The sequence below is a fragment of the Homo sapiens genome, chromosome 9 (assembly GCF_000001405.40).
Source record: "Homo sapiens chromosome 9, GRCh38.p14 Primary Assembly".
NCBI lineage: Eukaryota > Metazoa > Chordata > Mammalia > Primates > Hominidae > Homo > Homo sapiens.
In genome coordinates this window covers 123,225,127-123,249,085 of record NC_000009.12, presented here as the reverse complement: position 1 = coordinate 123,249,085, position 23,959 = coordinate 123,225,127, and the positions used below count along the sequence as shown (strand labels likewise).

Sequence of the window (23,959 nt, the reverse complement as noted above, 5' to 3'; positions counted from 1 at the left end):
ATAAGAGATAATCTGGAAATTACTATGAAATGGATTGCTACTTAAGCCTTAGTCTTAGAAACCATCTTATTCCTTGAAGTAAAGAGCTGCCAAATTTTGAAATGCAGCGAATAGGTCATTAAATATTTGAGTGCTTTTTATAGACAGAGCAGTGTATTAGGTACTGCTAAAGATATGAATTATGAAAAACGGTTCCTTCTCTTTAGTAGTTTATAGTCTAGCTGAAGGGGTAAGACATATAACCTTGTAAAAAGATGACTAATGCAAGTTCTCTATAACAAGGTGACATACAAGGAGAGAGGAAGCCATTCTTTATTATGGGAAAGTACAGACAGTGCTCATTCAGGTAATCATTACATCAGGTTATACTGGAGAATTAACACTGAATAATTATGTTAGGCTTACAAAATTATGTTGCAATTTATATTTTTATTCTCACATTGTTACCCTATTTTTATAGGTTTGTATAGTTTCCAGTATTTTTACAGGTTTTTATTTGCCTTAAAAAAATAATTCGGCTGGGCGCGGTGGCTCATGCCTGTAATCCCAGCACTTTGGGAGGCTGAGGCAGGCGGAACACGAGGTCAGGAGTTCGAGACCAGCCTGGCCAACATGGTAAAACACCGTCTCTACTAAAAATAATAATAAAAAAAATCTGGGCATGGTGGCATGTGCCTGTAATCCCAGCTACTCAGGAGCCTGAGGCAGGAGAATTGTTTGAACCCAGGAGGCAGAGGTTGCAGTGAGCCGAGATCGTGCCATTGCGCTCTAGCCTGGGCAATAGGGTGAGACTCCATCTCAAAAAAAAAAAAAAAAAAAAAAAACACGATAGGGGTGGGAGAAGTCTGTTATTGCTATTTGATAGATGAGAAAAGACTAAGTTAAATATGCCAAGATCACATAGATTTGAGTATTATGTTATTTGCATTTATGTTTCTCATTAGAATAGAATAGAAATACTCAGATACCTTGCTTTGGAGGAAAAATATATACATACACAGAGTAAAGATCTCCACTCAAGACTTCATAGAAATGTTTTAATGCTTCCTAAAGCACCTTGTGTATACCTTGTGCTTAGTTGTTCCTTTACTGAATTATTATAACGATTTAAAAAAACTTACAAAGTGCCTAGCAATAGAAGGCACTCATGGCAACTATTATTATTGTTGTTTTTTTCAACTTTTTCAACTCAGCTCTGATGTTACTTAAGACATCCAAATTCTCAATCCATGTATGTTAAGATATATTTTAGTTACATACGACATCTAAATTCTCCATCCGTGTGGAGATTCTGATTTCTCCATTTACTGAATGCAGTAATTCTGGCCTGTATTTATGGGGTGCTTACTACTTTGTTCAGATACTGTGATATGCATTTTACACACATTGCATCTTTAGATCCTTACAGCAGTTTCACTGTGGGGTGAGTGATGGTGTTTCCATTTTATAAATGAGAAAACTGAGGCCTGGACTAATCAGTTGCCTAGGGTGCTTACTAGTTAAAAGTACAGCTAGGAGGCTGGGCGCAGTGGCTCATGCCTGTAATCCCAGCACTTTGGGAGGCTGAGGTGGGTGGATCACCTGAGGTCTGGAGTTCGAGACCAGCCTGGCCAACATGATAAAACCCTGTCTCTACTAAAAATGCAACAAATTAGCCAGATGGGGTGGCGGGAGCCTGTAATCCCAGCTACTCAGGAGGCTGAGGCAGGAGAATCTTTTGATCGCGGGAGGTGGAGGTTGCAGTCAGCCGAGATTGTGGCACTGTACTCCAGCCTGGGTGACGAGCAAAACTCCGTCTCAAAAAAAAGAAAAAAAGTACAGCTGGGATTTGAATCCACCTCTCTGTCTTCTGTTACCTTTCCATTTGGGCAGTAAGTTGAAAAAAATATTTTTGGATTGTAGAGGAGTTTTTGCTGTTTTTCAAAGGATAGCTTTTTGAGGGGGGCATTGGGTAGTGGCTGTTCTCCCCTTTTATAATAAATTCATTGATTGGTATTTTTTCAATCTGGTTTTTTCAAAACTTTTTTTTAAATTATTGTTGTTATTTAATTAATTGCCTGATGACATTTTGGTAAAATAGTAATGGATTAACATTTTCCAGATCTTGATTTCTAAGTTCAAGGTGATATTTTACTATATTGGTGAGAAATAGTTTGTTAGTAGGTTTTTACAGGTTGTTTTAGGCCAAGAATTGACTTACCTTTACTGTGTAATAACATTACTACTTGATTGAATAAGATGGTTATAGTCACTTTTGAAACAGTATTTTGGCTTACAAAGCTTTTTTGAGGGGAAAAAATTTGTTTGTATTGGCAGTCAGCCAATATTTTATAAGCTACAATTTTCCTTTGAATAGCTGGTGGTTTGTAGCTCCATAATTTGTGGTTCTTCTGAACTTGTAAAAAGATTACACATATTTAAAAATGGCCTTATCACTTTAATGTTTTAAGCAATACACAACTGTCAAATTCTGTTATGTTATAGTATTGTTGTTTTACTTAATTTTCCTGGGCTGAGAATCTAACTTAATAATTTATACAGTATAATTGGAATCTCATCCCCCTAAACCCCAATGAAACTCCAAACAAACCTAAAAACCAAAAACTACATTAGTAATGTAACAGGCACTGTTAAAGGCAAAGGAAATGTGAGCGACTCTACATCGGTCTGCCAAAATCCTTGCAGTATTCATGCTAGTCCATTATTTAGCCACTGCTGCCCGGATGTGTTGAATTATGTGGTATGTGGGTTTGTTTGGGTGTATATGGTGTTCTTATGTGACATTTAGTTTTAAATTAAGGTTTTTGTGATGCTGTCAATGTTGCCTTTTCACATGCAGTTGGAAAAGAATACTTCATTCGAAATGTTTCATGTTCTGTACCTTGTTCTCCTGGTTTGTCTGTGGGTAGTTAAATTTGTGAAAGTCACGAGGTTATTTTAAATCTTTCCTTTTGATTTTAGGTTAAGTCTAAAATGGAATATTGTAACCTTTTGGCTTGAGAGATTTTGGAAAGCCAGATTAATATATCCATTTTTGTACTTACAGAAGTTTCACAGATAAAGGTGAACCTACCATTCAATTTCAGACTCAAACTCCATTGCCGAGTAGGAACGTTATTTAAAAATAAACCATAATGAACTATTGTCTTTCTTGGGCTAAATCCTTTTGTTTCTGGAAGCTGAGTGAGGTTTGGGTTAAAGTTTCCATTTATCAGTGGGATAATTTTTGTGGCTAAGATTTTAGTGAATTGTTAACAGCCAGATCCTTAACAACTGTTAATAATCTTATTAACATGTTAGTAAAGGTTGCTTTTAAAAAGACTCTCTAGCTCTGGAGGATACTGATTCTCATTCTTGATTGAACGTTAGAATTACCTGAGAGTTAAAAGAAATACAGATGCTTGAGGCCGGACGTGGTGGCTCACGCCTGTAATCCCAGCACTTTGAGAGGCTGAGGAGGGCGGATCACGAGTTCAGGAGATCGAGACCATCCTGGCTAACACAGTGAAACCCCATCTCTACTAAAAATACAAAAACATTAGCTGGGTGTGGTGGCAGCTCCCAGCTACTCAGGAGGCTGAGACAGGAGAATGGTGTGAACCGGGGAGGCGGAGCTTGCAGTGAGCCGAGATCGTGCCACTGCACTCCAGCCTGGGCGACTGAGCGAGACAACGTCTCAAACAAACAAACAAACAAAAACAACAAAAAAAAGAAATACAGATGCTTGGATTTCACCTTGAGGATTCTAATTTAATTGGTTTGGGATGCTACCTAAGCATCTGGATTTTTAGAGGTAATTCCAGTGTGCATATGAGGCTTAGAACTCCCGCTCTGGGAAATTTGTTAGCCCACTCAAGGGGAAAAATTTGGTTTTAGAGAATATATCTTTACCTTTGGAGTTTATAAAACTTTTTTTTTGAGGTAGTTGTGGATTCACATGCTGTTGTAGGAAATAATGTACTGAGTAATCCATCTCTGTAATTTTATCATTTCAAGAATTTTATGTAAATGAAGTAATATAGTATGTAAACTTTTCAGCTTGGCTTTTTCACTCAGGCTAATTCCTTTGAGATCCATCCAAGTTGTTGCATGTGTCAGTAGTTTGTTCCTTTTTATAGTTAAGTAGTATTCCATGGTAGGTAGGGAAGTATCACAGTTTAGTCATTCACCTGTTGAAGGACATTTGGATTGTTTCCATATTGGCTATTACTGTTAAAGCTGCTGTGAACATTTGTGGATGGGCTTTTGAATGGTCATAATTTTCCATTTCTTTGGGATAAATGCCCAAGAGTACAATTGCTGGGTTATGTGATAAATGCATTTTTAGTTTTCTCAGATAGTGCTGTACTTTTTCTGAGTGGCTGTATCACTTTACATTCCCACCAGCAGTGTATGTGTGATCCAGTTTCTCTACATCTTTGCCAGCGTTTGACATCAATACTATTTTTTGAGAAAGATTAGTAGACTTCATTGGAGCAGTTTTAGGTTTACAGAAAGTTGGGCAGATAATTCAGAGAGTTCCCATATACCTTCTTCCCTCATGACTTTCCCCTTTTATTAACATCTGTTACCATGGTAAATTTGTGAAAATTGTTGAACAATAATGCAGTATTAATGCATTATTATTAACTAGTCTATGGCTTATATTAGGACTCTGTGACTTGTACAGGTCTGTGGGTTTTGACAACAAATGTAAAATGACATGTGTCCACTGTTACAGTATCATACAGAATAGTTTTACTGCCCTAAAAATCTGTTCTCTACCTGTTCAGCCCTCCTGTACCCCCAGTTCGTGGCAACCACTGATCCTTTTACTGTTAACATAGTTTTGCCTTTTCCAGAATGTCATATAGTTGAAAGCATATAGTATCTGACCTTTTCACACTGGCTTCTTTTGCTAGGCTATATGCATTTAAGGTTTCTCCATGTCTTTACATGGCTTGATAACTCTTACTCTCCCCCCATCTCTCTTTATTGCTGAATAATATCCTATAGTGGATGAACCACAGTATTCAACTGTGATTATATCACAATTTGTTTATCCATTCACCTATTGAAAAACATCTTGGTTGTTCCCAGTTTTTGGAAATTATGAACAGAACTGCTATAAACATTTGTGTGTGGACTTTTGTGTGGATGTAAGTTTTCAGATCATTTAGATAAATATCTAGGAGCACAATTCCTATTGTATTGTGTTGTAAGACTACATTTAGCCTTGTGAGAAACTTCTAAACTTTTCCAAAGTACCATTTTACATTTCCCTCAGCAATGAATTATTTTTTATTTTAACCATTCCGATACTTATGTAGTAATTCTTTTCATTATGATTGGATTTGCATGTCTCTGGATAATGATTTTGAATATGTTTTCATATGCTTATTTGCCATCTGCTTTTCAGTGAAATGTTTGTTCATGTTTTTGCCCATTTTCTAATTGGATTCTTGTTTTTTAATTTTTATTTGTTTTAACTGTTGAGTTTTGAGGGTTCTTTATATATTCTAGTTAGAAGTCCTTTATTGGGTATGTGGTTTGTAATTATTTTCTCCTAGGCTGTAGCTTGTCTTTATATCCTCTTAATTGTGTCTTTCATAGAACAAAAATTAATTTTGACCAAGTCTAGTTTATCAGGTTTTCCTTTTACGAATCTTGCTTTTGCAAGAACTCTTCAACTAGCCCTGTGCCCCAAAGATTTTTTCCTAAAAGTGTGTTTATTTCTGAAAGTTTTATAGTTTTAAGTCTGTGATTCATTTCAAATTAGGTTTTGTGTAAGGTGTGAAGTTTAGATGAAAGCTCTATTTTTCTTTTTTTTTTTTTTTTTTTGTCTTATTGATGTCTAATTCCTCTAGCTGCATTTGTTGAAAGGGCTATCCTTCTTCCATTTAATTGCTTTGCATTTTTCTAAGAAATTAGTTGGACATGTTTGTGTGGATCTGTTTTTGGCTTCTCTGTTCTACTCCATCGATCTCTGTGTCTGTCCGTCTACCAATACCACGCAATCTTGATTACTGTGGCTATATAATAAGTCTTTAAATTTGGTAGAATTTCTCCAATTTTATTATTTTAAAAATTGTTTTAGCTTTTCTTGGTCTTGTGTCTTTCCATGTAAGTTTTAGAATAAGTTTGGTTATGTCTATAAAAATCCTTGGTAAAAATTTTATTACATCTATAGATAAATTTGGGAAGAATTGACATTTTTACTGTGGAGTGTCTCTACCATTGGATTTTAATAGATTGGAATGAGACTAGAAAGAAGTAGTTCTGTAGAGAAAATACTCAAATTACTTAAATTGTATGGAGAGAATTCTTTGTAATTAGCAAAATGTTAAACTTTTTAGCCCTCCCTCCCTTTTTGGTGTTAAAAACCATAATTAATAGAGCTGTGGAAGTGGAAGCAATTTCATTTCAATTCTGTTTATTTATTTATTTGAGACAGGGTCTCACTCTGTCACCCAGGCGGGAGTGCAGTGGTGTGATCTCTACTTAGTGCAACCTTTTCCTCCTGGGTTCAAGCGATTCTCCTGCCTCAGCCTCCTGAGTAGCTGTGACTACAGGTACATGTCACCATGCCCAGCTAATTTTTTGTATTTTTAGTAGAGACGGGGTTTTGCCATGTTGGCCAGGCTGGTCTCAAACTCCTGGCCTCAAGTGATCTGCCCACCTTGGCCTCTGAAAGTGCTAGGATTACAGGCATGAGCCACCGTGCCTGGCTATTCATTTATTCATAAAATTTTCACTCAACATCTTTATGAACTTCTGTTATGGGCCAGGCACTGTTTTAGGCACCAGAATACAGTGGTAAAGGTCCCTAATCATTGACCTTACATTCTAATGAAGAGATAGTATATGAATAATAACGATATACCTCAATTAAGTGCTATGCAGATAATCGAAACAGGTTGACCTTGAAATAGTGGGGTGGCTAATTGATTGATTAGATCAGGGAAGGCCTCTGAAGAAATCTCATTTGTTTGTGGTGGTGAGATCTGAATGTCAAGAAAGAGCCAGCCTTTTGAAGAAAAGGGAGAAGACTATTCCAGGCAGAGGGAACAGCTAGTGGAACAGCTAGGGACACAGTGGGTGTGTGGAAGGAACTAAAAAGGAGGACAGGGTGTCTGGAGTGTAATGAACAAGAGGGAGAGTAGTACAAATGAGGTTGGTGAGGTAGGCAGGGGCCAGATCACCTGGGACTTTGTAAGCCAAGGTAAGGAGTATGATTTTTATTCTGAGGGTGATGAGAAGCCACTGGAATGTTTCGATTAAGGGAGTGAAAAGGTTGCTGTATGGAGAGAGACCAGAACAAAAGCAGGAGGATGAATTAGGGAGCTATTTCAGACCAGGTGAAAGGTGATTATTCTAGGAAAGGATTCAGGATATATTTTCAAGATAGAGTCAACAGGATGTGTTCTGTATTTCATGGCCACAGGAAAAGGGAATCAAAGATAATGCCTAGATTTTTTTTTTTCTTTTAAAACTTGGTTGGATGATTATTGTTATCCAGTGAGATTGGTAAGACTTGGGAGAGGAACAAGGTATGTTTTGGAGAAAAAAAAATTGATTTTTTTTTTTGTGTGTGCGGGTTGACAAGGTCTTGCTCTGTTACCCTGGCTGGAGTGCAGTGGCACGATCACGGCTCTCTGCAACCTTGAGCTCCTGGGCTCAAGTGACCCTCCCACCTCAGCCTCTTGAGTAGCTGGGATCGTAGGCGTGCGCACCACCACAACCAGCTAATTGAAAAAAATTCTTTTTTGTAGAGACAAATTCTCCATTTGTTGCCCAGGCTAGTCTTGAACTTCTAGACTCTAGGGATTCTGCTGCCTCATCCTCCCAAAGTGCTGAGATTATAGGTGTGCACCACTGTGCCCAGTTGATAGTCCTTTTTAAATCACTTTGTTTTTTTTTTTTTTTTGAGATGGAGTTTTGCTCTTGTTGCCCAGGCTGGAGTACCATGGTGTGATCTTGGCTCACCGCAACCTCCGCCACCTGGGTTCAAGTGATTCTCCTGCCTCAGCCTCCCGAGTAGCTGGGATTACAGGCATGTGCCACCATGCCCAGCTAATTTTGTATTTTTAGTAAAGATCGAGTTTCTCCATGTTGGTCAGGCTGGTCATGAACTCCCAACCACAGATGATCCACTCGCCTCAGCCTCCCAAAGTGCTGGGATTACAGGTGTGAGCCACCATGCCCGGCCAATCACTTTATATTTTAACTGATGTTTGCCATCAATTGGATATACAAGTTTGGAGTCCAGGCGGAGGTCAGGATTGTTGATATAGTGTGGTGATTTGTATATAGACATTATACAGAGTTATAAAACTGGGAGAGGCCACTTAGAAGACAGTGTGATACCAGAGAAGGGGGCCTGGGACAGAGCCTTGGAGCACTGGCACATTATGAGGTCTGGAGGAGGGGAAGGCAGAGCCAACAAAGCCTAGGAAGGTTTAGCCATTGATGCTCTTGTATGTTTGCGACTAAAGTTATAGAAAGATAAGGATATAGAAAAATGAATTCTATCAATGCCTTCTCTGAAACCTGAATTTTGTGATATCCATTGATTCTATCAATCCTGTTGAAAGATAAGAGGAGACAAATAATAGAAACTACTTTTTGTGAGAAAATTAGCTAGTGATATTTGCTTTTAGTGAAATGCTAGTAAAATACGTCTCTGTGTTTCTCTCTCTTTTTGGCTTGCCTCTTTGAATTCAAAGACTTGATAACATTAAAGAAAATGCAGGATCTCTAGATTTCGGTGTGGTGGGCAGACAATAACATTTTTATACATAATAATATAATGGTTTCATGAAGAAAGCATCATACAGTATATTAAGTGGTTGAGTAACTACTCTGGGTCTAGCATAATGCTAAATTGAAGGAGAAAAAAGGAATGTTAAATATAGACCTTGCTTTCATTGAATTTTGATGAAAAGAGAGGTAAAAAAGAATAAGCTATGGTAGTTGAAAAGGATTTCTTGGAGGAGTTGGAACTTGAAGAATAAGTAGGACTTAGGTGGGTAGAGGAGAAGAGCAAATCCCATAATATAGTAAGATATGGTGGAAAGAAAATGGGCTTATTTTTTTGGTCAGAAGACCTGGTTTGAGTGAGGACTCACTTAATAGTTTGTGACATTGGATGAATCACTTGACTTCTTTGAGCCTGTATTCCCTTAGGGGCATACCTGTACTTGCCTCATAGGTCTGCTGTGAAGATAAGACTGTTTATAGCTTCAACAATAATAGTAATGTAGTACTTCTCGTGTCAGGTGGCTAGTTTGCAGATACTCATTTTAGGAACATTTCATAAATTCAGATGCTACACTGAATAATTTGTATTTATCAAATATTTTATAACTATCCTTTAAAACTTATGTGTATAGTTCCTAGGTCAGTGCCAGACATTTAGTAAATTGTAGGTGATATTGTTACTCTGCTCCTGTTATAAGAATAGCATAGGAAAAAGAGATGACAGTCCTTGTCCTTCAGGAGTTCTTGCTTTCAGTAATAAGTCATATTCATAAGAAGCTGGGGGAAAATGCAAGACGTTCTGTGCCCTGGTCCTAAGTTTGTGATATCAGGTACAAATGAGGTCAGAGTAGGCTTGTCATTGGGACAGGCCTTTGTTTTGGCAGTGAGTCTAAATGTGGCCCAGGAAAAAAGGTAAGATTTGGATAGACAAGAGGAAAGCCCGATAGGCATTCCATTTTTTTTTTTGTTTTTGAGACAGAGTCTCGCTCTGTCACCCAGGCCAGAGTGCAGTGGCGCGATCTCGGCTCACTGCAAGCTCTGCCTCCCGGGTTCACGCCATTCTCCCGCCTCAGCCTCCTGAGTAGCTGGGACTACAGGCGCCCGCCACCATGCCTGGCTAATGTTTTGTATTTTTAGTGGAGACAGGGTTTCACCGTGTTAGCCAGGATGGTCTCAATCTCCTGACCTCATGATCCGCCTGCCTCAGCCTCCCAGAGTGCTGGGATTACAGGCGTGAGCTACCGCGCCCAGCCTAGGCATTCCATATTAAGAAGATGTTTATTTTATGTATTTTTATTTTTAGGGGCAGGAAAGCATAAATGTTACTGCCACTGCTAAGGAAATCTTTAATAATAACTTAAAAATTCTCATTCTGAAACTTTTGTAATGTTATGATCGAATTTACCTTCCTGCCTTTACAATTCATTGAACTTTTGCCTGCTCCCAGATGGCATTCTAACGTGGAATTTATTGTGGGGGGGTGTCTCTTTTTTAAAAATATGGAAATGTTTTTATTATATACTTAAGTTTAATTCTGTTATAGCTTTTCTCTTTTGTGTGTAAAAATAATAAAGCTCTGTTTCATGCTGTGAGATTTATTGTTAGAAAGACAGGGCAAATTTCTGAAATTTCCTTGGGTAGTCTCCCTTCTCATCTTTAGCTTATTTGAATCTTAACTATTTATCAATTCATTTGCATACGTGGGATGTTAGGATGACTCTTTGTTTTGAAAAACAGTGCTGTCAGAGTTCCTGTACAGTCCGTGCTGAAATTAGGGTGCCCTAGTACAATGTACTGTTCTCTCTTAGTCACTATAATGGTTTTGTAAGTAGCTAAACCCTAGGTCATGCTGCTTTTATGCAGCTGTCTTCCTTGGTTACTGAAAGTTGGATGGCGCTTAGTTTGCCTTTAAGGGAATCTAGGTTTAATTGTATATCTCCTAGAACATTTTGCACCACCAAGTAGGTTGTAGAGAATCTTTGTTAGCATTCTGCTAGCCTTATTGATACGTGATCACCTCACTGAAATTGTGCAGTATCATGTATTCTTTGATTGTATTTTTTAGAAATGGGAGTCTTGCTATGTTGCCTAGGCTGGTCTTGAATTCCTGGCGTCAAGCGATCCTCCGGTCTTGGTCTCCCAAAGTGCTGGGATTACTGGCGTGAGCTACCTCATTTGGCCAAATTTTAAATAAGAAATGCTAACGTTTACTGTTACTGCTGTGTGCTATGCACTTTGCTAAGCAGCTTTAAACTGTGGAGTTTTCTTTTCATTTAAACATCACAACAATTAAGTGAGGTGAGTCCTGCTTTTATTCTCATTTTACAGAGACAGAAAGGTTAAGTTCCGATCTCAAGGTTACACAGGTGGCAAGTGGTGGAGAAGGGATTTGAACCCAGGCAATCTGACTTTAGGGCCTATTCTCTTATCTACTATGCTTTAACACTCCCCTGAGGTAACACCTTTCTGGGAAACTGTCCTATTGAGAACTTTACTTTTTATGTGTTACCTTGTGTGAAGGCATTAAAAGCTTGTGCCTGTTTGGGATTTTATAGTTGCACCTTTCTCCCGCTGTAAGGGGTTTGCCATTGTATTACTTAAGTAACCCAGTTGCTGAAATAGAGCCCTGAAATACAATGGCTGAAACCCCAGAATTCAGCGCACAGTAGTTGAGAGCAGGTGTTCCACATCAGCATGTGGCTGTCCTTTATGCAGGCATTTGGGGACGTAGGTGAATGGGGACTGTATCATCTCGAATGCACAGCTTTCAAGGTTGTTCTTGTTGGAAGCACAGGGTAAGAAATTTTGTCTTAAGCAAGTGAGGTGAAAGTTGTACAAATATAATTTCTCCTCCCATTGCTGAAGGCTTAGTCTCATTGCCTCATCTAGCTGCAGGGGATTGGGAATTGGAGTGTTCTTTCTCTTTGCTGACACTAAGAGGTAAGGTGTCATTCTGTACTATTTTGAGTATTTCATCAGTGTTGAAATGTTCTTGGGAGTGCATTTTCAGTTACAGAATGTAAAGGTGAGAGCCTTGTCCTAGCTACAACTCTGTTATTTGGAAGAAACAGGGTGGATTTTGGTAGTTAGCAATTTTCTGCCGCAGCTGTAACACTGTAGATTTCAGTAGGAATGTTAGAATAGCTCACTGCTGTGGTTTGCAAAGTATTATTACACACATTCAACTCTTGCTTTTTTGTTGTTGTTATTGAGATGGAGTCTGGCTCTGTTGCCCAGGCTGGAGTGCAGAGGCTCAATCTCGGCTCTGTACTACAACCTCTGCCTCCTGGGTTCAAGTGATTCTCCTGCCTCAGCCTCCCGAGTAGCTGGAATTACAGGTGTGCGCCACCACGCCCAGCTAATTTTTGTATTTTTAGTAGAGACGGGGTTTTGCCATGTTGACCTGGCTGGTCTCGAACTCCTGAACGCAAGTGATCCGCCTGCCTCAGCCTCCCAAGGTGCTGGGATTACAGGCACGAGCCACTGTGCCTGGCCTCAACTGTTGCTTCTTATAAAGGTAAGTAGATAAAGTAAGTGATGGTATTCCCTTCGTAAAGGAGAAAATCGAGACATAGGTGGTTAAACATTGAATGAAACCAGCTAGAAAGTTGAAGAGCTGGGACTTAAATCCAGACATCATGGCTCCAGAGTCAGTGAAGTTTGTATGACACACTTTTTTTTTTTTTTTTAGAAAATCCTATTCAATTTTTATATTTACTGTGGTCACTACTCTTGTATCCTTTCTTAGGGTGTCTAATATCACCAATGTCCAATATACTATGCTGGCAAATTACTATCATTTGATGAGAATTATTGATAATTTGATGTCATTTTGAAGATTCAGAAAGTACGTTAAGAACTTGTATTGCCTCACTGTCATCATGATGTTCACAAATGACGCCATGTTTTAGATATGTCAGTTTATGTAATACCGGGTAGCAGAGATTTTACTCTCTTTAAAAATTATACTTTTATAGACTTGCTTACGGTAAAGTGACATGTAAAATGAGCAAATGAAATAGAAATAAAATAGGAAATAAAAATAGAAATTAAATATTGGGGCACTTAATGTTTTTTTCTTAGTAAGTAGCATGTATTGTGAAATACAGTGTTCATATAATTTCACCAATAATTTTGCTGTACTATGTGATAAAACCACTTTATACTATATGGTACTCAAGAAATTGGGAACATTTTCTACTTTAGAGCAGCTGGAGGAGTCCTTTCTCCTTGCTGACACTAGAAGGTAAGGTACCATTCCTCAGTATTTTGAGTATTTTTGTATTCAAAGTGTGTTGAAATGTTCTTGCTAGTGCATGTTAAGTTGTAGAGTTTGTGGTAATCTGATTTAGAGATTGGAAGCTGTGGACTATGACACATATTAAGTATTTGTGCAGATGGATTATTAATCAGAAAGTAAGATGGAGCCTTTTACACATTCCTATTTTAATAGAACAGGTAGCAAACTCATTCTGGTGTTCTTATTTTTGATTATTTTTCTTGGAAGTTTATTTTGCTGAGCGCTCTATTCCTAAATCATTTCAGAAGTGACTTTAGTATAGCTGAATTTTAATAGATAGAAATAACATGACTTCAATTTAATTTTCCATAGACTACCCTTTAGACATTCTTTACAGCTTCAGTTTTGCTATGAAAGGGAAGAGATCAGACAAAGAGTGCCATTCTTTTTGCATGTGGTTAATGACCAACCAATAGCTCTCTGGGATAACTTTTTTTTTTTTTTTTTTTTTTTTTTTTTTTTGCTGAACTTGTCTCTTCATCCAGATTCTACTTAGATTTTCAGTTGTCTTTGGGATAACTTTTTTTTTTTTTTTTTTCCTGAAGTTGCTCTTAGTTCATACAGATTTTAATTAGATTTTCAGTTGTCTGACAATCACAATAGAAATAAAAGTGGTTGTATCATAAATTCAGTGAAGTCTAACTGGGACTAGCATTCTTTCAGTGGTTTTGCAAGGATACAGTTATCTGTATCTCTGTAATCCATTATTTTAACATACACATATTGATTTATTTGCAAAATGAAAAAAAAAAACCTAAATTAAAAAAGGCTTATCCTTCAACTTCTGTAGCTTTGTGTTACCTACTTTTTAGAAAAGTTACATGCAAAATTTTGGCCTTCTACCACAGACAAGGAATGCTGGCAAGTGTGTTGTTAAAATTCTGTCATTGCCTCTTTATTTGCCTAAATTGATGGAAAAACACTTTCAGGTCATTTTAGTGAAGTTCAGTTTCAGTGGTTACATAAGGTATGTCATTTGAATACTGGTTGTAATGTGTTTCCGGTGTTCACTTGTATTTATAACCTGAATACCCAGTACCCCCCCCCCCCAAAAAAAAAGCCAGTTGAACAGATACAAAAAAAATTTTTTTAAACTTTTTTTTTATTTTTTGAGATGGAGTCTGTGTTGCCCAGGCTCAGCTGACTGCGACCTCTGCCTCCCAGGTTCAAGCGAGTCTCCTGCCTTGGCCTCCCAAGTAGCTGGGATAACAGGTGTGCACCCCCATGCCTGGCTAATTTTTGTATTTTTAGTAGAGGTAGGGTTTTACCATCTTGGCCAGGCTGGTCTTGAACTCCTGACCTCAAGTGATCTGCTTCCCTCAACTTCCCAATGTGCTGGGATTACAGGCATCAGCCACCTCGCTCGGCCTGAACAAATACAAAATGTTTATGCTGAGACTAGGCACTTTATATACTATTACTTTTGAAAAAACAAAACAAAACAGGATTTAAGACTACCAACTAGGATGGGAAGAACACTAGATTTTTAGTGATAAGTCCAGGTTTTGAGTCTGAGCCTTGCTACAAAGTTACTTGGTGGTCTTGGGCAGGATATTTTATCTCTTTGGGTCTTAGTTTTCTTTTTGGGAAGTAAGGATCCTGTACAGTATTAGTCTTTTTGACCAGTTTTAACAGTCTGTGATTCTCAGTTTTTTCTGTCTTGTGAAGAGAAACTTAACAGTATTAAAGTTGCCAGCTCTTTTTTTTTTTTGTCTTCTGAATAGTCTTGGTAACAGAAAACTGGTTTGAATTAGCCTATCTAATTTTAATGTTTTCCAAAACTAGTTTTAAAGGAGACATGAAATTAGAAGTATTTAGTTTTACTTCTTTTTTTTTTTTTTTTTTTGACACGGCGTCTCGCTCTGTCGCCCAGGCTGGAGTGCAGTGGTGTGATCTCTGCTCACCACAAACTCTGCCTCCCGGGTTCATGCCATTCTCCTGCCTCAGCCTCCTGAGTAGCTGGGACTACAGGCGCCCGCCACCACGCCTGGCTAATTTTTTTGTATTTTTAATAGAGACGGGATTTCACCGTATTAGCCAGGATGGTCTCAATCTCCTGACCTCGTGATCTGCCCGCCTTGGCCTCCCAAAGTGCTGGTATTACAGGCGTGAGCCACCGCGCCCGGCCTAGTTTTACATTTTAATTGTGCCTTGCTGTTGTCACTTTAAAAGAAGCATGTGAACTGAAAAGACAAAACACTTTGAAAATGTACTGTGCAATGAAAGGAGAGTCACCTATTATTAAAGTTCTTTGAATTCCCATTTCATGGCAGAGGGCAGTGAAATGAGCTAACATGAGCATGTTTATTTATGTAGACTTTCCCATGTAAATCAATGCAGATGTATTGCTGTTACATTTTTCTCCAAACATTTTATTATGAAAAAGCTTAAACATGCAAAAAGTTGGAAGAGTTGTATAGTGAACCTCCATATATTCTGCAATTAGTGCAGCCTATATTCTGCAATTAACATTATCTTTCATTAACTGTATCTTACATCTATGCATCTATTCACTCCACTATTTAACCTTCATTACATCTTACTTTTTGCTTCATTTCAAAATAAGCTGCAGACATCCTTACAGTTTACCCCTAAACATTTTGACATACATATAATTAGCTGGAGTTTGATACTTGTTAACACTTCTTAAAGTTCAAATTTATATACATAAGCCTGGCATAGGGGCTCAGGCCTGTAACCCTAATGACTCTTGGGAAGCTGATGCGGGAGGATTGTTTGAGGCCAGGGGTTTGAGACTAGCCTGGGCAACGTAGTGAGACCCCCCCATCTCTAAAAAAATAAAGAAATTAGCCAGATGTGGTGGTATGCGCCTGTAGTCCAGCTACTTGGGAAGCTGATGTGAGAGGATCACTTGAGCCCAGGAGTACTAGGCTGCCATGAGCTATGTTCACGCCACTGCACTCCCAGCATAGATGACAAAGCAAGACCCTGTCTTTAAAAAGGAGGAAAAAATTTACATACATAAAAATGTATAACTGTTAGTGTGCCATGGATGACAGTCATTAATTGAGCATCTGGCATTTTTCAGGGTCTTTGCTAGTCTTGCAGATAGAGAGATGAGTAAGACACAGTTTCTGCCTTCATGGTGCTAGTAGGATAAATAGAAGAGATGTCTAAAAACGTAGTGTTTTATTTGGAGCTTTTAGTTGCAAATAAGAATCAGCTGTCTTCTACAGATAATCGGTCTTCCTTACAGAACCTGAGGGCAGGAATTCAGTGGGGCTTTGGGAAGGGCTGGAACCAAGAACCAGAAGGCTCACAGGACTGTTTTTTCCTAACTCTGCCCATTTCGTTCTTTTTCTTCGAAGATGTACTTTTTTCTCTTTTTAGTACAAATGGTAGAACATGGCTGTCCGTAGAGCTTTTATTTTACATCTAACAATTCTCAGCCACATAGACATACCAGTTTTCTCTGTTAATTTCATTCCAAATTCCTGGGAGGTAGAATCTGGCCCCACCCTGGTTCAGCTTGCCTGAGGGCTGAGCTGTTGGAAGCTCACTTTTGTGAATGGAATGAAGTAGGAGGGATGGAAGAGACAATTCCCAGAACAAGTATGGGGCTGTTGTAACCTGGGCTGACACTGAAAATGGTTTATAACTACAATGTGATAAATACTGGTGCAGACAAGAACAGGCTATAGAAATAGATGGAATAGGGGCAGGGTCAGCTTCCTGGAGAAATTGTCGGCTAAGGTTTTTTTGTTTCTTTTTTCTTGAGATGGAGTCTTACTCTGTCACCCAGGCTGGAGTGCAGTGGTGTGATTTCGGCTCACTGCAACCTCCGCCTCCTGGTTCAAGCGATTCTCCTGCGTCAGCCTCCCAAGTAGCTGGAATTTCAAGCATGTACCACCAAGCCTGGCTAATTTTTGTATTTTTAGTAGAGCCGAGGTTTCACCATGTTGACCAGGCTGGTCTCGAATTCCCGACCTCAAGTGATCCACCTGCCTCAGCCTCCCAAAGTGCTGTGATTACAGGTGTGAGCCACTGCATCCAGCTGGCTAAGTTGGGTTTTGAAAGATGAATTCAAGTACAACAGTGGGAAGGAAGGATATTCCTTATAGAAGAACAGTAGGAGAAAGATAGGAAATGGCATAGTGTGTTTAGGTAACTGTAAGGAGATTGGTACATTCGCAGTATAAGTTTTGAAGTGGGGTAGGTTCATTAGAGACCAGAGAGAGGGAGATCCAGGCCAGTTTATGAAGAACTCTATCTTGTTAAGATATGGGGAGTCAGGGAAGGTGGGTGACAGATTTATTTCCTTAAGAGATCATTTCATGGAATGAACTGGAGGCAAGTGGGGCAGAGACAGAAAATCTTTTGAGGACTTAGACTAAGAAAATGGCAGTAAAAAAGAGGAGGGGAGATAATTTGGTAGTAAAATCTTTAGTACTTGTGATTTATTTGATGTCAGGAGAAGGGGAGGAATCTTAAGATGATGTCCCTGGTCTCCTGACTTGAGTAACTGGATTAATTGGTATACTAGCCAAGATAAGAAATATGGGAGACTGTGGTGCTGGCAGTGTTATATTTCTTGATTTGGCTGATAACTATGAGGGTACTGTTTAAGGATTATTAAATTGCGCTTATATGTTTTATGCATTTTTCCATCTGTAAGTTATATTTCACAATCTAAAAGACCAGAAAGGAACAAGAGAAAATAAGTTTGGGAAAGAAGATACTGACTTTAGGATTGGACTTTTATATTTGGAGTCAACCCTCCAGATGGAGATGTGTGGAAGGCAGTTGGAAGTGCAGTAAAATTGGAAGTGCAATAGAGGAGTATAGGCTGCTAATAACAGGTGAAAGGATTAGGTTAGGTCTGTAGTTCTCAGGCCTCGTTGTACATTAAAATCTCTGTAGAGTTAAAAAAAAAATACTGATAACCTGGATCCCACCCCAGATTAATTAAATTGACCTCTAGGGGTGTGAGGGTACCATGTCTAGCTTAAAAAGCTCCCTGTGCATTTTCTTATAATACACAGAGTTGAAGAACCACTGGGTTGCAGAAAGATCACTTACTCCCTACATTCTGTTACTGACAGAGTTCTGCAAAGAGGATTTTGTAATTGCTTTAGAACTCAATATAGGTTTAACCTTTTTGTTTTGGGTACAATTATTATACCCTGTGCTTTCCCCCTACTAATACCAGAAATTTAAAAAAGTGTGTACGCTTTTCATTAAAATAATGATGCACATGTGTTCTTGAAAAAAGTATGTGGAAGACACAAGCTGTTTAGTTAAAGCAATTTTAAAACAGAAACTTTCCTGTGATTAACTGAAATGGCCATGTCTTACCTAGTTTTAATTATTAATAGTGTATAGCTTTTGCAGCCAAACATAGATTGCCTCATCACCTACAGTGTCTTTGAAAAATAAATATGAAAGACAGTGATTGGTAAATGAATTGGGTGATGTAGTCTGGAAGGCAGATAGCTGTAAATGGTGAGCAGCTGTCTGTGATATATCTGATACGGAAAGGACGGTTGCTTACTTGTCTGTCCTCAGGGTCCTGTATCTGTATCCATCAATAAGTATTTATTAGCACTTACTATCTTCCCAGAAGTGTATTAGGAAATGTATGTAAGTTACTAAATAAGTAACTAGATAAAATAGACAAAAATGCATGGGACTTGCACTAGGTTTGCCAGTGTTTGGGTTGGGGAAGGCTGTGTAAATGACAATTCAATGTCAAGTTACGTGATAATTATAAGAATACAGTTGCTGCTCGGAGACTGGAATTATTTCTTGCGCTTGAGTGTAAAGAGTGATTCTTGCAACACATTGGCCTCCTATTTTCTTGAGCTCCATTCATCTAGTGATCTTATTTTCTGTGGACATCTGTCAGACCATGGACCCCAGATCTGTTGATCCTACTGCTTTTTCATCGTCCTTTATATCCCTGATGTTCACATTCCCTTCCTCACTCAGCTTAAATTCCATAGTCATTATGCTAACTCCTCTGTATAGTCTGTATAGTCCCACACTTTAATCATACTTACTTGGCAAAACTTACAACCCTGGTTAAATCTGACTCTCCTCCTAATCTGCACCTGTACCTGTGCATCTGAACATAGCTGGAAAACACATACCTTCATACACCCTATGCTGAATGATCTTATTTATTTTTTAAAATTCATAACCTTGAACCTCAAATGGGTCCTTAATGCTCCTAGGCAATCATATGTACCTGGCCCATTCACTCTGTCACTCTGTTAGACAGTTGTTTGATTATTCCGACCCCTTCCTTTTAAAATCCATAATACCCTCTCTCCCATTCAACTGATGACCTTGCTACTTACTTCACTAAGGAAATTGAAGCATGTACTTGTGCCTTCTGCCCTCATTCCTCTCACCATAGATAAACTACATGTGCTTCTATCAAAAACAAGCTCTTCACTTGTGTATTAGATATTATCCTCTATCAACTACTCAAGGATATTGCCCTGAGAATCCCCCTCCAGATTTTCCTGCATCATCAATATTTTGTTTTCTGTTGGATCATTCATCAACATTTAAACATGTTATTTTTCCAGTGTTAAAAATACTTGATCCCACTTTGATTGCCAGCTACTGTCTCATTTCTTTGCCCTTCTTTGTAGTGAAACATCTAGAAGTAGTCTCTATTCAACTGTTTTTAATTTCCTTCCTCATATGATCCCTCTTCTATTTCTTTATTGAGATATAATTCACATGCCCTAAAATTCGCTATTTAAAATGTACAATTCAGTGGTTTTTAGTATATTTACAGAGTCGTGCATCCATTACCACTGTCTAAATTCCAGAACATTTTCATCATTGAAAAAGAAACTCTGTACCCCTTAGTGGCCACTCCCTGTTTCACCCTTCCTCCAGTTCCTGGCAGCTACTAATCTACTTTCTGTCTGTGTGGATTTGCCTATTCTGGATGTTTCACGTAAATGGAATCATACAATATGTGGTCTTTTGTGACTAGCTTCTTTCCCTTAGCATAATGTTTTCAAGGTTCATGCGTATTATAACATGTATGAGTGTTTCATTCCTTTTTATGGCTAATATTCCATTTATGAATATGCCACATTTTGTTTGTGCATTCATCAGTCGATGGACGTTTAGGTGGTTCCACATTTTGGCTGTTACAAAAAATGCCGCCGTGAACATTTGTGTTCAGATTTTTGTGTGGATGTATCTTTTCAATTATCTTGGCTACATACTTAGTAGGGTAGACTTTCTGGGTCATATTATAGCCCTGTGTTTAACATTTTGAGGAACTGCCAAATTGTTTTTCAAAAATGGCTGTACCATTTTACATTTCCACCAGAGTTCAAGTTTCTTCATCTTGTTCTCTCTTAAGCCAACTTTAATCAGGTTTTTCCTCTATTTCCCAAACTTCTTAGCTGAACGTGCCCTTGACAAGGTCATTAGTAACATCAAAGTGCCTAAATTCAACAGTCAGTTCACAGTCCTCATTTTGTTTGACCTATGCCCAGCATTTGACACAATTATTCATTCCTCCGTAATACACTTTATTCACTTTTGGCTTCCAGGATACTGCATGTTGTGTGCAGCTCCCCCTGTCCCCCAACCCCACACACACATTTTATTGGTCAATCCTTGTCAGTTTCCTTTGTTATTTACTCCTTTCTCTCCTGCCTTTAAAAATTGGCGTGTCCATTGGAGATCTTTATCTAGACTTACACATCTTTAAGTACTATCCTTGAACTGGCTCCCAAGTTGATATCTCTAACCTAGATCTCTTCTTTTTGTCCTTCCGAGCCATGTGTCCAGCTGCCTGCCCACCAGGATGTTAGACATTTTAAATGGAACATGTCTAAAACCCAACTCCTTTTCTTTCTTTAAAAATATGTGCCACCCATAGGTCTCCCCATCTCTGATCAAGGCAATGCCATCCTCCGGTTGTTTAGGCCAAAACCGATGGAGTTAACCTACACTCCTTTTCTCACATCCCACATCCAATCTGCTAGGAAGTCTCGTTGACCTCACCTTAAAATATCTGCAGTGTCGTAACACTTCTTACCATCTCTGCCGTTGCCATTACCCTCGTCTGATTATCATGTCTCACCTGCATCGTTGTGATGGATTTCTAATTAGATCCTCTGCTGTATGTTTACCTCCAACAGTCTAGCTCAACACAGTAGCCAGAATAATCCTTTAGAAATATGTCAGATCAGGCCGGGTGCAGTGGCCTGTAATCCCAGCACTTTGGGAGGCTGAGGTGGGTGAATGACCTGAGGTTGGGAGTTTGAGACCAGCCTGGCCAACATGGTGAAACCTTGTCTCTACTAAAAATACAAAAATTAGCCAGGTGTGGGGTGCATACCTGTAATCCCAGCTACTTGGGAGGCTGAGGCTCAAGAACAGCTTGAACCTGGGAGGCGGAGGTTGCAGTGAGCCAAGATTGCACCACTGCACTCCAGCCTGAGCGACAGAGTGAGACTCTATCTCAAAAAAAAAAAAAAAAGAAAAAAAAAAAAAGAGAAAACAATAAATATGTCAGATCATATGCATTTTCTGCTCAAAACCCTGCATTGCCTCCCTGTTTCACTCAGTAACAGCCAAACTAGGCCCTACTTCATCTGACCCTGTTACCTCTCTGACCACATCTGTTGTTGTTATCCTTTGGCTTACTGCATTCACCTCCTTGCTCTTCTTCAAACAGGTGTGTGTTAGACTCAGGGCCTTTGCACTTGATGTTCTTTCTGTTGGAAATGTTCTTTACCATTTTCAGATCTCCTCAAAGCTCACCATATTCAGTAAGCTTACCCTGGTTACCTTTAATTATGTAACTTGCTCCTCCTACATTCTGGATTCTCCTCTTTTAAATTTTTGCATAACATTTAACATTGATTGAGTACATTATTGACTTATGTTTATGATTGCCGTGGTTTGAATGCGTCTCCCAAAAAGCATGTGTTGGAAACTTAATCCCCGCAGCAACTTGGGGAGGTGAGACCTAGTAGGAGGTGTTTAGATCATGAGGAATTTACTCTCACGAATGGATTAATGCTGATTATAAAAGAACTTGAGGCTGTGAATTAGATCTCTTTCTCTCGCTCATGTGATGCCTTCCACCATGTTATGACGTGGCAAGAAAGCTCTCACCAGATGTGGCCCCTTAGTCTTGGATTTCCAAGACTCTAGAACCATGAGCCAAATATATTTTTATTCATTATAAATTACCAAATCTGTGGTATTCTGTTATAATAGCATAAAATGGACTGAGACAGTGATACATTGCTCTTCCTCCCCACCCCGCCACCCCCTCACTCCCCAACACCGCTAAGCTGAAGCTCCATGAGGGCAGGGATTTCTGTTTTGTTTACAGATGTAACCTAAAGTGTCACAGTGCGTGGCACATAGTAACCATTCAAGATATATTTGTGGAATAAGTAAATGGATGGCTGTATGGCAGAGGTGGGGGTCTGAGGCAGGCCTTGAAAAATTTTGATTAGGTTTTGGGGAGAAAAGGACAACTTAGTTTCCCTTATCTTTCCCAATCTTCTCTTTTCTGTGCCTTTAGCAAGATCTCTTTAACCTTCAAGGCATGGCATCTGAATTAGAACCTGAGTTTGAATCTGCTTAGTATATATGTGACCTTGAGGAAGATTTCTGGCCATTCTTGAGTCCCTTTTAATAATAAAAAAGTCATTTTTATTGACGTATACTTTGAATATAGTAAAATACATTTTTTTTGAATATACGGTTCTATGAATTTTGACAGACTTAGTCATGTAACCACCATCAAGATATATCCATTACTACAAAACGTTCCTTTCAGTGCCATGTAGTCAGTTCCCTCTCTTCACCTCCTGCTCCTGGAAACCATTGATCTGATTTCTTAAGTGTGACTCATTTTTAGTCAAACCTCTTTCATTTAGCCTCTGTGCTTTCGAGATGCATCTGTGTAATTGCATGTATCAGGAGTGCATTTCTTTTTATTGCCCAGAAGTATTCCAGTGTATGGATTTACCACAGTTTATTCATTTACCAGTTGATGGATTTTGGGGTTATTTCTAGTTTTTGGCCATTATGAGTAAATTTGCTATAAACATTTTCATTTCTGTTGGGCAAATACCTTGGGTGTGGGAGCGCTGGATTGTATGATAAGTGAATTTAACTTTATAAAAAACCACCAAACTGTTTTTCAAAGTTATTAGCTTTTTTTCACATTTATCAAATGGGGTAATAGTCAAGACTTTTAGTTGTGAGCAACAGAAATTGAGTCTGGGAAAGGAACTTATGAACAGGGTGTTAGGTGGCTCACAGAATCTCTTGGAGGGCTGGAGAAATAGGCTGAGAAGTTAGCATCCAGGAACAAGATTCTAGGCACAGACGAGGTTGAATCGCCAATACCATCAGGGGGTGCTAGACACTGTAGGTAGAATTACTGTCTCTGGAAACTGGATGAAGCTGCTGTGCTTGCTGCTTTCACTTGCCAGAATAGATTTTCTGAGGACCCAGCTTCTTTGAGTCATTTGCTTTTGAATCACCATCTGGAGGTAGGCGCTGCCTCATAAGGTGGGGGATTCCCCAAACATAGGAAAGAGGATTCAGATGTGGGGCTGAAAAAGGAAATAACACGTGTATACCACAACCTCCAGAGGTGGCTGTGATTAGATAGAATAATTTCCATGGTGTCTAGGAACTTACTAGAATATAAATGCTAGTTTACTTTTCTGTTTTCCTTTTTCCCCATCTGTCTTTTGTAAGTAAAATTTTTGTTAAAGTGTAAAACAAACTACATAAATCATAAGTGTGTATAGCTTGATGAATTTTCTTGAAGTGAATTCATCCTTATAACCGGTACCCAGAAGAAATAGAACGTTGCCAGCACCCAGAAACTTCTCCCGTGTCCTCATCTTCATCACTGCACACTCCCCACTCCACCACTGAATCACTGGT

At 38.8% G+C, this 23,959-nt stretch overlaps 1 protein-coding gene across 9 annotated transcripts in view, besides 1 other annotated feature; it reads left to right on the top strand.

Annotated features, from left to right (window-relative positions):
* Positions 1 to 23,959, top strand: part of STRBP (spermatid perinuclear RNA binding protein) — a 159,093-nt gene that overhangs the window by 19,501 nt on the left and 115,633 nt on the right. Inside the window, exon 2 of one of the 9 annotated variants that reach the window (NM_018387.5) lies at positions 12,120 to 12,256. The exons of the other annotated variants lie outside the window; for them this stretch is intronic. The gene's annotated coding sequence lies outside the window, so the exon portion shown is untranslated. The remainder of the gene's footprint in view (positions 1 to 12,119; positions 12,257 to 23,959) is intronic. 9 annotated transcript variants of the gene reach the window in all.
* Positions 15,112 to 15,191: an enhancer, noted in NCBI's record as "active region_28934". NCBI's record gives its function as "activates an Ori minimal core promoter by ATAC-STARR-seq in GM12878 lymphoblastoid cells {active_cell/tissue: GM12878}" and the evidence as "EXISTENCE:reporter gene assay evidence [ECO:0000049][PMID:35858748]".